The 15950-nt window shown below is 37.5% G+C and overlaps 2 long non-coding RNA genes across 2 annotated transcripts in view; one reads left to right on the top strand and one right to left on the bottom strand.

The window, feature by feature from the left end:
• The window catches only part of LOC124901975 (uncharacterized), a 267232-nt gene extending 252903 nt beyond the window's left edge, over positions 1–14329 (top strand). Inside the window, exon 8 of the long non-coding RNA XR_007061002.1 lies at positions 13791–14329. This is a non-coding gene — a long non-coding RNA (uncharacterized LOC124901975). The remainder of the gene's footprint in view (positions 1–13790) is intronic.
• Positions 1–15950, bottom strand: part of LINC00534 (long intergenic non-protein coding RNA 534) — a 166472-nt gene that overhangs the window by 78522 nt on the left and 72000 nt on the right. The window lies entirely within an intron of this gene.

Raw genomic sequence — 15950 nt, 5'->3', positions numbered from 1 at the left:
GTACTGCAGACCACCCATTTCTCTGTGTGTGTGTGTGTGTATCTATGAGTTAAGTCACTGTGGTCATTTTGATGTTACAGAAAAGCAAACTAAAACGAAACATAGAGAATAGACATGCCAGAACAAAGGTCAGACATAATTTAGGGACAGACCTAACTGAGAACTGCAAAATTCGAGATGCTGGTTATTTCATTCTCCATTCATTTTGGCCATACAAACATATCTTTTTTACCTTGTTACTTATCTGCAGGTATAATCTAGTTTTCACTTTTTAAATAATATCTGGAACAGAATCATTAATATGTAGGACAGAAGAAATTGAAAGTCTATGACCTACCAATAAACAGCATTAAGAATACAAATAAACAAAACTTGAAAAACATAGCAGTATATGAAAATATTTTTAAAAATTTTCAATGGACATCTTTAAAGTAACATTTCCATCTGAAACCTACTCCTGCTTTAAATGTAAACACGAGGATTACCTTATCTCTAGGTATATTTAATAATTCCATTGTTTCATTCATTTATTCAGCAGATATTTATTGAATATTTCTTCATAGCAAATATTGTATTAAACACATAAAGTATGAAGATAAATATGGCTCAATTTCTGCCTTCAAAGGGCTTACAGGCAAGTGAGGAAGAAAGGTAAACATATCATGGCAATGCAGTATGATAAGGGCAATCATTACCCATTATTGCTGTTTGCAGTTACTGTTGGTGACAGACAACAAGGCATGCACTCTTTTTTCTGCTTCTAAGAAAGTGGTTCACAAATTTCAATATTCCTAAAAATCACCACAAGAGTTTAGTAAAAGATAAAACATTAAAATCCTGGATGCACACAGACACTATTAAATTCAAATTCAGTAGGTAGGGCTCTGTCAAGGTGATACTGCATCAGGTGGGCCACTTTGAGAGACACTGATACATGAGCAGTATGAGCACACATGATCCCTGAGTGATATGTGAAGAGAGCTAACTGCAGAAATTAAGGGCCAGTATTTAAGCAATGCATAACACTAGGAACCAAATGGCCCTTTATATTGCTTTTTATCTCCTAGACATCAAGAGCCAATGCAATTTTGAAGGAGAAAATTATCTTTGGAATCCCAAATTGGAATTCTGAGCATACTTTTCCATAGAAATATTATATGCTTAGTGGTTAAATTCAATGACTGCTGGTTATATTCTACAAGACTATTGGTTAGGCTTCTCAACTGTCTTATAGATTTCATGGATTTTGTTAGCCAAGCATGAAACCAAGCCAATTCTCTATAATTCAGTTTCTGTGAGGAAAGATTTTCTCAGGTGTGACAGTGCACCCTGTTGGAAATTGAACGTGATTTTTATCTCACTTTTGATAAGAGTGACATTGCTATGACATGGAAAATATTTCACTTTTATGCAGGGAACAAGTTTTTTTTTGTTTTTTTTTTTTTTTTTAATGTGTGGAAGGTATGGGCTCCTGAAGACAACCTATACACAGAACTTCAGCATATGAAATGACTGCTTCCCACTGAAAACAGTCAACTTTGATTGTCCAGAAAATGGGCTACAGTCAATATTTTGTTTTCTATGATTTAAAAGTGGAGGCTGTGGGATCCCAGTGGATGACTGCCTTTCCTGGGCAAACTATCACTGACTGATAGATTCTGGCCCTCATTAGCATTCATGTGCACTGAATGCCTACCCACAAGTCCTTATCAGTTTATAAAGGACAATTTCATAAACACCCTTAAACCTCACAAATAATAGACCTCACTGAATGTGTAATAGAGACAAGTGGTTAAAAGGTGGTTGATTGGAAAGTGCTGCCTTACCAGTCATGTAGTGAAAACTTTAATACCTATGATCTTGGGGTCAGATGTGGTACACAGAGCTGGAGGCAAAGAGATGTGGACATCACTATTACAAGAACACAAAAATAAATTTGAACTCCCACTTGTAGTGTCATGTGATCATTCAACAACTCAACTAACTATAGATTTTTTAAAAAAAGATTGCCTCAATCAGTTATTGAATTCTCTATTCTAAGCACCTTTATGTTTTTTGTTTTAAAGAAACTCATGAGAAAAATTAGGAAAAATGAACAAGTATGTATTTGACAAGGACTTTCTTAACTACTGGAAACAACCTCAGATCTGAGGTCTTCACCCTTGAAACATTTGGGTGTCCCTGGATTTCAGTCACAGAGTGGGGATGCCCTGTATGCATTAACCTTTTTCTCCATTCTGGCTGGGCTGCAAGATGGCATCTGCCAATTGAGGGATGCCAACGTCATGGCAGAGTAACTGTTACTCCATATGATTTTTAAAAATCTTGTCATTGAAGATTTTAATGTATATTCATTGATGAGAAGTTTCCCATCAGTGAATATATATTAAAAGGTAAAATTAATAAAAGTTCTCATTACTTCAGACTAGTGATTACAGAGGGCAAATTTCAGTAGGATTTCTTGTTCCTCGTTTATATGAAGGAGAAAGGGTAACAGGGCTTCAAATGAATGGCATAAGAATGAAAGGTCTACTAAATGACATTGAGCTCAAGTATGAGCAATCACTAATATAAATCCATCAGTGATAGTTTATGTCAAGAGGTTGCTTCATAAACCTAGTGGGTTTCTGTTGCTCAGAGGTATCGTTTACATTTCAGCCATCCAATAATTTAAAATTGTTCATTTCTTTGGATTCTCAAGAAAATCTATGATCAGAAACTTTTCCCCACAGGCATCTACTGTACAAATGAGTGAAGGAAAAATATGTGAATGAAATTTCAAATCACATCATAAATACAATAGTTGTATTTGGGTGATGCTGTGGGAGAGATTGTTCAACAATTTTACCATTTTGATATTCCTATGGAATATGTCACCATAATTTTTTAATGTCAACCTCTCTAATGCATATTTATCCCAGGAGAAAACTTCCAATTTTTGTTTTTTAGGCTAAATTCAGTGGAATGCAATTTACATTACATGGAGAAGACTTGGGAAAGGAAACTGTTAATTGAAAATAAGGATTTTTTTTTCAACAACTCAAGCTGGAGTCCAGAGATGGTATCACCAACTAAAAATAGAAAATCAAACTCATCCTCAACTTTTCCTGCTTCCTTATCTTTTAATTTCAATTGCTTACTGCTTATTTTGCTTTTTAAGTCTTTCTTTCATCTGACCCTTCATCACCATTTCTATGGTCTTTATTATCTCTTATTTAACTACAATCATCCCATATTCTTTCCTCACCCTTGTCTGGGCTCTATAGTTACTTTACTTAGTACTATTCTATCAAGATGTAATTCACACGCCATACCATTCATCCATGAAGCATGTACAAATCAGTGGTTTCTAGTATACTCACAGAGTTATGCAACCATCACCACAGTCCATTTAAGAACATTTCATCACTCCAAAAAGAAATCCTCTACCCTTTAGCAGTTACCCTCCATTTCTCCCCAGTTTCCTCCACAAGCCCTAAGCAATCACTAATCTACTTTCTGTTTCTATGTATTTGCCTATTCTGGACATTTCAGCTATATGGGACCATCCAATATGTGATCTTTTGTTACTGGAATTTTCCACTTAGCATAAACTTTTCTGAGTTCATCCAGGTTGTAGTATATATTTCATTCCTTTTTATCACTGAATACTATTTCTTTGCATTATATACCACATTTTACTCAACCATTTATCAGTTGATGAACACTTGGATTATCCAAGCTTTTGGCTACTATGAATAATGCTGCTATGAATATCTCATGTGCACCATTTTTGTGTGGACATGTTTTTATTTCTCTTAGGAGTGGAATTTCTGGGTCATATGGTAAGTCTATGTTCAATTGCTTGAGGAACTGCCAGACTATTTGACTGCTCCATTTAATTTTCCACCAGCAATCTATGAGGAATTCTCTACATTCCAGACATCACTTATTGTTTGTCTTTTTTATTATTGCCATACAAGTGGATGTGAAGTTGCATCGCATGGTTTTGATTTGCATTTCCCTGATGTCTAATGATGCTGTGTACTTTTTTATATGCTTATCAGACATTTGTATGTCTTCTTTAGGGAAATATCTACATCATTTGCCTATTTTTAATTAGGTTGTCTTTTTATTATTGAGTTATAAATGTTATTTGTATACTCTAGATACAAGTCCCTTATTAGATATACAATTTGTAAACATTTTCTCCTATTCTGAGGCTTGTTTGTCATTTTCATGATAATTTCCTTGACTCTTCACAAAAGGTTGAGATAAAATAATAAAATATCTAAGTGTTTAAACCATGAAATTATGACAGCAAAGCTGAAACGGTAGTGGCAATATGGAGGTGTGATTTGAAGACATAGCCTGAAAAACTCAGGTTAAAGAGTGAAGAACTTTTCCTGTATTTGGTAATTACACAAACAATAAAATATGTGTGCTTCACGTGTCTTCAAAATAAACAAGTGAAGTTTAGCAAAAGTGAAATGGAATAAGTTTGAGTAGGAGTTACATATTTCATATTTATGTACCTAGACTCCAGTTATTTACAAAGTACATTGTGAGACTACTCCAATAACAGCACTAGTACAATTAAATCCAAAATACAAAGTAAAAGACCAAATGTCACAAATAAAAGGAGACAGAAGCAGAAGAGCTATGTTACAATTTTCTAACTCAGGAAATCTATACCTCAGCTCTCAGCTTCTGGATCAAAATGAGGACCGCCAGCTTAACTCCCATACTCTGACAATAGAATAACCTATCAGCTTAGTAGGAGAAACTAAGTCCTTTCATCTCAGAACTTTCAGAGTAGCTCCCATTCTGGAGTTTTTTTTCTTTGTTCTCTATCAAGTTACAGCTTCTTAGTACATGTGAGAAAATTTTCTTAGGTCTCCACCAATAGAGATTCAAATAACTCATAAGTTTAAGATTTGTAGTATGGCTCTCCTCAACCTAAAAGGCATTTGGAAGCCCAAAAGAGTTTAGCCAAATTTCCTAGCATTCTTTGATGAAAAATGTAGCTGGCTGATACAGCACGACGTCCCAGAGAGAATGATTTTTTCACAAAACACCAATGAGAAAAGCAAGTGAAAAGTCTTAGTGTACACATTTTACAGATTGGAAAACTAATGCCCAGTCAATCAGTGTATCAACGAGCACATTGAAAAAGCATCAGAAACTCCTGCTCATGTCCCAAACCTGTCTTCTTGGTATTAGGCAGTTTATAACATGCTTAGCAATGTGGAGAGTTATTTTTCAGAAGATGGAAGTGTTTCCCTGTCTCCCCGCAAGATAGAATGAAAGTTAATGGGTTTAACAATTTCCAGCCAAAAAAAAAAAAAAAAAAAAGATTGGTTTAAATTGAGTAGGAAAGACCATATTTCAATGGGGAGGGTATCAGAGGACTGTATTTCTGTGCTTGGAAATCTTTTGAAATAAGAGCTCTTCTTATCTGTGTGCAGTAATGGAAATGGCATTGTAACTGCAGCAGAAGGGAGCTGGATTATAATGGACTCTCACAGTCCGTCTTATCTTCAGACCCTATAACTTAAATGCCATACCTTTATGGCAAAAATGATAGAGAACAACATTTACTTTCCATCCTTTCAAGAGCTATCTGAGTGTGCATCTTGACAAATTTCTGACAGCATCAAGAGTTCCATTTGGTCTACAATGAACAAGGAAAAAGCTACTCATGTACCCTCCCTAGAGTAAATTGTCTGGTTGGTTGATTTACTCATGAATGCCTTTGTTTGTGTTACTTATTTTTTGAATGTTTCCTCTGAACTTATCTGCAGCTAGAAATTGTTAGCACACAAGTTTAGCACACAAGTTTAGAATAAATGCAAATTTAACTGATGACCCTTTTTTTCCTTTACATTAGCTCAGTTTCCCCAAGAGCAGTGATGGGGTTCTTAATCAATTATAACCAATAATTCAAAAGTTCTCACTGAAAACTCACTCATGCTTGATGAGGCGATCATGGATATTAAATGTGTTATATTTCTATATTTTTTGTCTAGAGTTAATGTTGTAATTGGCAATTATGCATGCCTTTGATAATTAGTATTTATAAAATTCGAAAATATATTGCTTATAGTAAATCCTTGTGTGCCTGAACCTAGGGAATCTGGCCTTGGAGCTTGTACTCATACCCGTCATGCTCCACTACCTCTAAAGTATAAAAGTGACTATTTGTAATATGTGGTAAGTGTTATGATGAAGAGATGCATGGGGATCTATGGGAACTGACTGAGGCATGTGGGCAAGGCTTCATGAAGGCTGTGGCTCCTACTGGGAATAGAAGTGGTCAGGTAGGGTCTTGTGGTGGGGGTAGTGGTAGGCATTTGCTTATTCTAGGCCAAGGGAACTTAACAAACAAAAACACAGAAGAGAAATAAAGTCAAGTTTTATAGGAAACTACAAATATTTTTGTAAGATTTTGCACTGACAATGCAATGGATGAGGTGTGAGAAAGGTGGCCTCTGTTGGACATCAAGTAGAGTACAGGGTTTTGAATAAGAGAGATTTTGAATTTAGGTTCTCAGTCATACCAGACACATTTCAAATGTGCAATAACCGCATGTGGCTACTGGCTATTGTATTAGTACAGATAACAACATTTCCATCATTGCAGAATTCCATTGGCCAATGCTGTTCTAGACAGTACATAAATGTATCTCTTGTTCACAGCTAAATCTCTAGTATTAAGAACTGGGTCTGGCACATGTGAGTGATCACCAAATATTTATTGAATGAATAAAGGAAAAAACATCAGATTATTATATGAGCTGTCTATCAGCAGTCTTTACATAGAAACTCAATAGCATTTCTTTGTAATGGAACTTTGATGAAGGTATCCAGAACTTCTCCAAATAGGCAGTGATATAATGTGAGTGCATATCTCTTCAAACATGTACCAGGGTTTCTGAAGTGGAATGTGCACAGTCCTGGATGCTGATACATAGTCTCATCTCATCATAGCAGTTTTCCATGTCACCCCTACTGTTGATTCTTTACACAGACGCTAAGAGTTAAAACTGTCTGACACTGTGAGAAAACTTTCATCTCATTACTGCCTTGTTCCAGGCCCTATAAAGCCTTTGAGAGCCAGTCATATCAGTTGAAACTCTTAGCCTAATCAGAGACAACCTAACCTCTTCAATCTTTTATCAATATTCCTCCGCAGGTATGACATTCCAGTTAGGCGTGTCAATGTGAAAGCCACATCGATAATCATCTCCCAAAATATTTGTCTCAGGAGACCTGGGCAGACCCCTCAAATTGTCACAAGCTTGAAGAGACACGAAAAAAGACACTGCTTCAAGAAACATATCAAGCACATCCAAAGCTATCTCTTGCTCTGGCTTTTGACTCATGCTTTGTATGACATACTGTTTATTTGGAGTTCGACTTATGCAGATCTTTTTAAACACACCTGTGACTCTAATCCCAACATCTGACACCTAGAATGGTCCAACATCTATAGCCTGAGTGGCAGCCCAGCTCTAGGAAAGGACTGTCTCTACATCTGCATCACGTATTTCACTAATACTTTACCCCAACACAGTGTAAACATGTAGATAATCTGCTTTAGTGATGTATAGACACTGAGCTTCTTTATACTCCTTAGGCTATAGGAAAAGTGCATTTATCACTTCTTTAGTCTACTCATAGTTGTTGAGTGCCTACTATGTGTCATACATTCATGTGTCAAGATACGAAGATGGTCATGATGGATATGATACCTGCTATCCTGTAGCAAATATGAAACAATATCAAAACTACTCTGATAGCCTTACAGGGTGCTGTTGGAGCCAAATGGAAGCATACACTCTACCTCATATAAGGGAAGACCTTCATCCCTGAAGATTTGATGTTTAGGTTATGGACTAATGGGCTTACAAGACTTTATTGAAAAAGGAGAGGATGGTGGAAGATGGAATGTTTCTGAGAAAAGAAGCAGGAGTCAAGAGGTGAGAGGAATTCAGTGGAGGAATAAGAGTGTGGAGCAGAGTGAGGAAGTAGACAAACCCGAATTGTGAAGGGCTTTGTCAGCAATGTAAGGGTTTAGGCTATTCTCAGGCAACTGGAAGCCAATATATTTCAAACAGTATAGTGACATCATGATATATATGTTTGAAAAAGGTCAGCCTGCCTGCAGTGGGAGGCTTTGTAGTAATCCAAATAGTACCCAAGAGCTTCATCAGCTTTGACATTGATCGCTGTCCCTCTGACGGTTCTGAACATATATGTATTATTCCAGAGTCAGCTGTTAATCTGTACCCTTCACCCTGCTAAAGCAGATTTGTATGAATGGCGATTTCACTAGACGAGTGTCCCTGTCTCTACAGAAGTTTTGATAAGATGCTTAAGCATTCACGCGAATCACTTCTTTACAGTCTCCATAAACCCTAGATAGACTTTATAACCCAGCCCCACATGCCTCTCCCTCCCCTCAATTAAACTTCCAATTATGGCTCATTCTTATTCCAACACCAAAATCAAGCACTTTTTACTCTGCCATTATGCTGACTGATATGTAAAAATTGTTATTTGAGCACAGTTCTACCATTACAGGTGCCACCTGCACACTTAGAGTCCTAAAACCTTACTGGGGGATGCTTTTCCTGCTGTGCACACTGGCCAATGAGTGCTTGTATTTCATGCTGTCTCTTAGCTAAGATTTCACTCAGAAGGCTGCACTATCACTGAAGGGTCTTGGATGAAGATGACTCTTAAAACATTTTTATTTTTAAAATGTATATTTACCTCTGCAAAATATTTAATTAAAAATACCATGTGTCATCTCGACCTGAATTGCCCCATAGCCATCATGTATAACTGTGGGGTTTCCTGTGCACCAGGGGGTTTAGAACATTGTTATTTATTCCCAAGGTGGGATTCATGGATGTGCAACCAGTGCAGTCCCATAGTCCCCTGTACTGAAAGAGCCCTGGGCTCAGGGTTTAATCCTCTACAGCAGCCTTCTTGAAATGCTTAATAATTTTATTTCTGAACTTAATATTTTGTAAGTGAAGTCTATGGAAAAATGGAGCATGAGAGCCTTGGAGCCTCAGGTCGCATGGGTCCCTCCTCTGGCCAACTTCCTCCCTCCCTGGGATAGGTTCTCGCCTTACACTCCCCCACTTGTGGTGCTTGGAGTGCCAGACTGAAAGTGCTATGGGCCCATTCACTGGATGACTCCTGAGCCTTTGCTTGCCCCAGGTACTGAGCACATCTTGGCAACCTGGTCACAATCCTTTGGCAGTTGCCAGTCTATCTTCAGTTGGAACAGGAGGCCCATGGAAGGGGAGTTCTGCAGGAGGGGTGGCTCTCCCTGTGGGAGAGCACAACATAGCAAATAAAAACACTGCAACCAGTGTAGAGAGAGATCAAGGAAGAAAGGAAAATCTTTTTTACTTTTAGTACCTTCCATAGCACTTTTTTCTTGATTAGTGTCTATACATCACTAAATATAGAACAAAAGATTCTATATTTTTATTTTATGTTGGGCCCCGAAAATTATGTAGCCAGCCCTGTTTAACCCTCATCACAATCCTTTGAGGCTGGTATCTGGGGACTCATTTTACCAAGAGTCTAAGGCTCCAAAAGCAAAAAGATGAGTCCAGAGTCACAGAATTGTAAATGGTGGGGTTAAGATTCAAACCCAGAGTAAGCAGGCTCACAGCAGGCTCTAATACCTCCAGCCTTTCTTACTGTAACCTGCACTTCTTGTCTGTCAGAATATAGCCTGAGTTTCCTGGGATTTATATGTGTACAAATCAGAGGTGCCATCTTTGAGAGTTTCATGTCCTTGATGTCAGCTGATGTGGAGTTGTTTCTATGAGAAGAGTTCAAATAACAACAAAGAGGTCCTAAATCCTACATTTCATTCTCATTTTTGACACGTATTCTAATCTTCTGGTGCTTCTCCACAAAAATGCAGTTTTATATGAGAGATTTCAAGAGGGATCTTGCTCTTGAAATCTTTCATACAAAAGCTTCCTCTGGTCAGTAACTGAACTATACTTTACAGACTTCTTTCATTAAGGGCAGTTCTGAGAAAAACCACATCTGACTTTTTTTTTTTTTTTTTTTTTTTGCTAAAAATGGTGATGAAACTTACAACCATTATTTTTTGACTTACTTTTTGTTCAAATTTTCCCAAAGATTTACCTAATGAAGTCAGAAACACACAGGCCTGAGTTTCCACAGTGTTTCCGTGAATTTCAAATTCCTTTCTAAGTATTGAGCTTTTATGTCTCTACTTTTAAGGTGTACAAATCATGCACTTAAACACCACCACCATCAAAATCGAGAGAAATATAGATCCCTTAACTGAATAGTCCTTTAAAAAGACATCACAATTATGGGAAATAAACAAGCAATCATCTTCCAGATGTATATGTAAATAATTCTTAATACAATAAAACATTACCAAATAATACCTAGAAATCTAATATTCATCTATATTTATGGGGTTGTCTCTTACACATTAAATAGCAAAGCAAATCTTATTAACTGAATGGACAGAAATATTATATAATCTTTAAGAGTGAAAGTTATCTTGGGAGACATGAACATGGTCTTATCCTGGGTGAATTCAAAAATTATTTCCGTTTCCTCCTTCTGTCAGAGAATTTCAGATTGAAACTGTGGACAGGTGAGGATAGCCAAGATGCAGTTTTTAAAAAGAATTTATTAAAGATCTGAGACGGGGATTAGTGATACTTGTACCCCACTAAGTCAGCATAAAGTGTCAACAGCATAAAAGAAAGTGAACTTAAATTACATGAAAAGTTGGTTTGAGGCAAAATGAGAAGTGAACAGAATTTTCTTCTTTGTATCTTGCCAATTCTGCTTTCTCCCTTTTTCTGAATTCAATGATATTCTTCCTTTGCTTAAGGCCATCAGTGTCCTCATAAACTCCTGGAATCCCAAGGCTGGAAAGTCCTCTGAGCCTGTGTTTCTTCTCCCTCTCCTGGAGGCTGCAGGGGGAAGTAATGCCCTAGGCTTGCATCTAGTGGGAATGCAAATTCATCTACACAACAAACATTGACTGAGGTCCTACAATGTCCCTGGGTGCTTTGGATACAATAGAGTACATCTGAGTCATCTTTGCTCTCAATAAATTTACATCTCTAGCAAAGAGGGACTGTCGAGTAAATAAGCAACTAAAATATAGTGCGAAAACTGAAATGGCAGCACATTTTTGTGGTGTACATTGTAGGGCATCTGATCCAGTCTCCAGGGTCAGGTGAGGCTCTGCATAGGGGTCAATATCTAAACTAGACCCAAAGGACAAGTGGGAGAGAAACAGGAGAAGGGAGAACCGCATTCTAGATAGACGGTGTGGCTTGTGTAAACACCCAAAGGTGACAGAAAAGCTGGAGCCTTTGTGGTCTGCACCCAGTTCAGTGGGGCTGGGGCAGGAGGAATGGGGCAAGGGGTCAGGAGTTAGATATGGCACTGAAGAGGTCCTCAGGGGCTAGATCCTAAAGGGCCTTGTATGTCATGCCAGGGAGTTAGATACTAAAATGTTTTAAGTAAGAATGTAATAAAATTAGATCTTTAGGGATCTCTTTGGGTACAAAGCACATAATAAAATGGAGTTGGGAGAAACTAGAAATCCACTAGCCTAATTGAGAGGTCATAGTGAAGGTAATGGTAGATAAATGAACGTTCTTGGGAAATAGGAGGCAGAATCAACAAAACAGAGTGATGGATTGGGTGCAGTGATTATTGTGGGGCAAACTAAGGAATAATGAGAAACGAGGGAAGATGCCCAGGTTGCTGTCTTGGGCCACTTGAAGGGCCATTGTGCCACTGCCTGCAGTGGGGAACTCCAGTGGAGAAGTTGTTTTGTGAACATTTCTGCAGGTGACTACTGAGAACCAAAGAAACTTGCTCAGTGCTTTGAGTAAATGATGTGACACCAAAGCACATTAGGATATTCAAGGCATTTCTCCTTTTTGAAGATATGGGATCTCTTCACTACATGGCCTTTTACAATTCTCTTCTGCTGCTGTCAAAAACTGTCCTCAGAATGGTATCTAACAAGCATATTCATCCTAACAAAAGTAGAGCCTTATGAAGACTCTGCATAGTGACAAGACAGCAAATATAGTTCAATCCTTATGTGTAATTAAGGGGAGTCATTTCGTAGCTGGCTTTCCTCTCTTGATATATGGCACATCCAAGGAAGAACAGTGATCTGCATTGGCTGTGTCCCCACCCAGATCTCATCTTGAGTTGTAGTTTCCATAATCCCCACATGTCCTGGGAGGGACCTGGTGGGAGGTAATCGAATCATGGGGGCTGTTACCCTCAGGCTATTCTCGTGATAGTGAGTGAGTTCTCACGAGATCTGTTGGTTTTATAAGTGTCTGGCATCTTCCCTGCTGGCACTCATTTTCTCTCCTGCTGCCCTGTGAAGAGGTGCCTTCCACCATGATTGTAAGTTTCCTGAGGCCTCCCCAGCCATGCAGATCTGTGAGTCAATTAAACCTCATTTCTTTATAAATTACCCTGTCTTGGATATTTCTTCATAGCAGCATGAGAATGGACTAATACAAACAAGTCTAACACACATACCACGGTACAGATTTCTTCTCTAATCTGCCAACTGAGAGAGATTCCCTCTTCTGGTCTCAGCCTGCTTTGGGGATCTTTTAAAATATAAATAAGGTGGAAATATCTAGACATCAAGAGATCTGGAGTTCAATGAGTTATTCTGACACTTTAAAAGTTCCATTTCGAAACACTTTCAAGGGTTAACACATGGGTGTCAGCTGTATGTGGGTAATAATTATTTTCTTTTATGTCAGAGATGACATGGATGTCCACCTTCCCAGGGCAGGGCCAAAAACATTTTCCCTAGAACTTATGGAGGTGTTTTTGACTCCTTTTATCACCTCTTTCAGAACTGAAATGGCTGTTGGTGGTAACATCCAGTTGTAACTCCATCACTTCTCCATTTGTAGTATAATTTTATGCTTGCTTGATCATTTGATTAATTTTAAATAACTGTAAGCTTCATTTGGGCAGGGAAGGTGTTGATTTGGTTCTCCCAGAGCTGCCTCATAGCCGATGCTCAGTAAACATTGCATGTGTGTATGAATGGATGGGTATCGATTCTCTCTCTCTCTGCTACAGTGTGGTGGCCTGAAGAGTTCTAACAGATACCCCACACACATAGACACTTTTTACATCTGCAGTGAAAAGAACATCTCTCAAATTGACTGGCCCTGGACCATATTTCATACCTGCTTCCTTCCCCAAGAAAACTTGAAGTTATCTGTTTCATAAGCTCCACAGTTACGTTTCCTTTTCACTTAACATTTTGCATTCTTAACCCTTACCTTTAATATTTACAATATTTTAATCCAAGGAAATGATCTTAAGCGTAAGAACTTTAGAACCATGAAAACCTTGTTCAATATGGGAACATTCTGAAAGCTTATTAAATAATCCTACAGGTAACCACCCCCTCTGCCTAAATACAGAACTCCTCCTCCAAAAACCTCTAGAAAGTCTTTATGAACTCATTGTGACAGATTTAGATATGTGACATGCTTTTAGTTTCTTGGAGGAACCAACATGTATTAAATATATATAATATGTCAATCTTTTGTGTAGTTTATTTAATTATAACATCCTATAAGAAAGATAATATCCACTAAATTTTTAAATGAGGAACTTAATTCCAGAAGTTAAGAACTTGCCCAAACTTAAGTGTTAAGGAGAACTTAAATTCAATCTTGACTTTATGTAATTCACAAATTTCAAATTTTTCTGTCCAGATTTATATCCTCCTGGGAAGAAAAGAAGTTCAGCCATGAAGTCCTGAAGTTTGAAGGAAGAAAATAAATCACATTCTCTTAGAAATGACTTTTTATAGGAGAATATGAAAGTAGGTAAAGCAATGTGATAATCCAAGATGCCCTCCAACAGTCCAGTAAGTGTGAAGAGAAAAAGATAGCCTTAAAACACCATCCACCCTGTTCAGGGAGCCAGTGAATGAAGACAGACACCAACTACAAATTGCAAAATCTCTCACCCCTCATCATCAACTACCTTTCTCTCTTTTGTCAGTTACTTTTCCTTGATGACTCAATTGTAGATTTCAAGTATGAGTACACTGGACAGACCATCTCTCCCCATTTTCCCTGGTGCCTAACACATCCCTAAGACACAGTAGATGGGAGCCAATAAAAACAACCCTAATCTTGCACTGGGGGAAATTTCCTCCTAGCAGGAGCTGGAGATTGACTTTAAAACTGACAGCTATGATAACCTCTGGCATTCTTACTTTCACTAGACTGTCTGAAAACACTTTTTTTTCAACACTGTTAATACAGTAGCTCTTTATTGACAGGTACGCTGGTGGTTCTTTTCTTTTTTAATTGTGACTTTAATTTAACTGTGAGTTTAATTTAGATGAAACACAGTATTTCCAGTAGCCTCTTACCAATAAATTTTTTTTTAAAAATCAATAAACATAGCTTTATATGGATTAAATCATTCCTGATCATGTGTGCACTATTTTTAACTGCCAGCTCTAGAGAATGAACTTGACTGAGGAGATCTGTAGATAGACTATGATTCTTTTCAATGTTTCTTACAGCCAATTGTTCAAAAAATCAGGAAAATCTTTAATTTACATCTGTGTTAGTGGTTAATTATAGCAAATATGAAATTAGTCTCTTAGCCCAAAGTTGAGCCTCTCATTGCATAAACTGAATAGGAAAAAAAAAGTCCTCTTTTTCCAATAGAAATAGATCAATTTTTAACACCAAGGGTCTTCATTGCCTTCTTTTTGAAATGTTGAAGGTAAAGCCTCAATTCTTAATTGTGCTTTGTACTTTTTTCTCTTTCTCAGCTGTACAGCTGAAAGTCTAACTGAGAACAGGCAGCCCAGAAAGCACAAGTAGTACTTGAAGGAGGCACATGCGGGCCTAGTTTTCATTCCCAGCCATGCACCACCATCTCTTTAGAATTCCTGCTTGAAGACAAAATAAAAGGCTGCTGCATACAGGTAGAAGAAAAAAGAGGAAGGTTGAGTTTGCTCATTGTTGCTGTAAGAATTTCTTCATCTGATTTATGAAACTTTAGACACCAGTCATAATTGACTGACTAGAGAGGGTCTTCTTCCGTAGTCACTATTGTCTTAACTGGCATTATCATCAATTTCAGCTTCATTAAAGTTTTTAGAAGATCTGCATTGTATATTTTAATCACTGCATATGTATATTTTTCTTTTATCACAAATAACAAATCAATATGTATGTTTTAATCCAGTATACAGAGCTTCACAATTTAATTTTGTATTATTATGCTTCTAATCTTTCAATTTTTTTTATTTTCTATGGAACAGTTACATTTAGACTTAGAGGAAAGGGAGGAGAGGGGTATAGAGAGAAGGGAAGTGTCTCTCACAAAAACACAAATAGAGTTAAGAAGGAAGGTGAGTAACTTAAGAGAAACTATGACTTATACACCAATGGCAGCTCAATTTAATAACCAGAGTTCACCCCCATGATAGCTTCTGACACATGAAGGATGGAGGACTCTACTATTACTGGAAAAGTTTAGGGAAAAGGTTCAGGATACATTGGCAAAAATAAACTGATAATTGAGAAAATTTTGCTTTTCTAAAACACATCAGAAAATCCCCACCAGAAGAAGAAGAAGGAAAAACAGGAGAAGGTAGAAGACAAAGAAGAATGACACAAAATAAGGAAGTTTATATTTATTAATACTCTTTCTCTTCATGTCCTGATACCTTTTCATTCATGTGCTTACTCTGGGGCTCAATTCCCATAGGTTTAATCCTTATTCAGACATTCCTGGCAAAGAAAATGCAAAGTCTCTAAAACAGGAAACTGGCTTCATTTTCAAAAAACAGCAGAGAGACCAATGTGGATGGACAGAGTAAGGAGTGGAGCAAAGCAGATGGTGTC

Source organism: Homo sapiens, chromosome 8, assembly GCF_000001405.40.
Source record: "Homo sapiens chromosome 8, GRCh38.p14 Primary Assembly".
Classification (NCBI taxonomy): domain Eukaryota; kingdom Metazoa; phylum Chordata; class Mammalia; order Primates; family Hominidae; genus Homo; species Homo sapiens.
The sequence above is the reverse complement of the archived record's forward strand: the minus strand, read 5'-3'. Positions and strand labels throughout refer to the sequence as shown.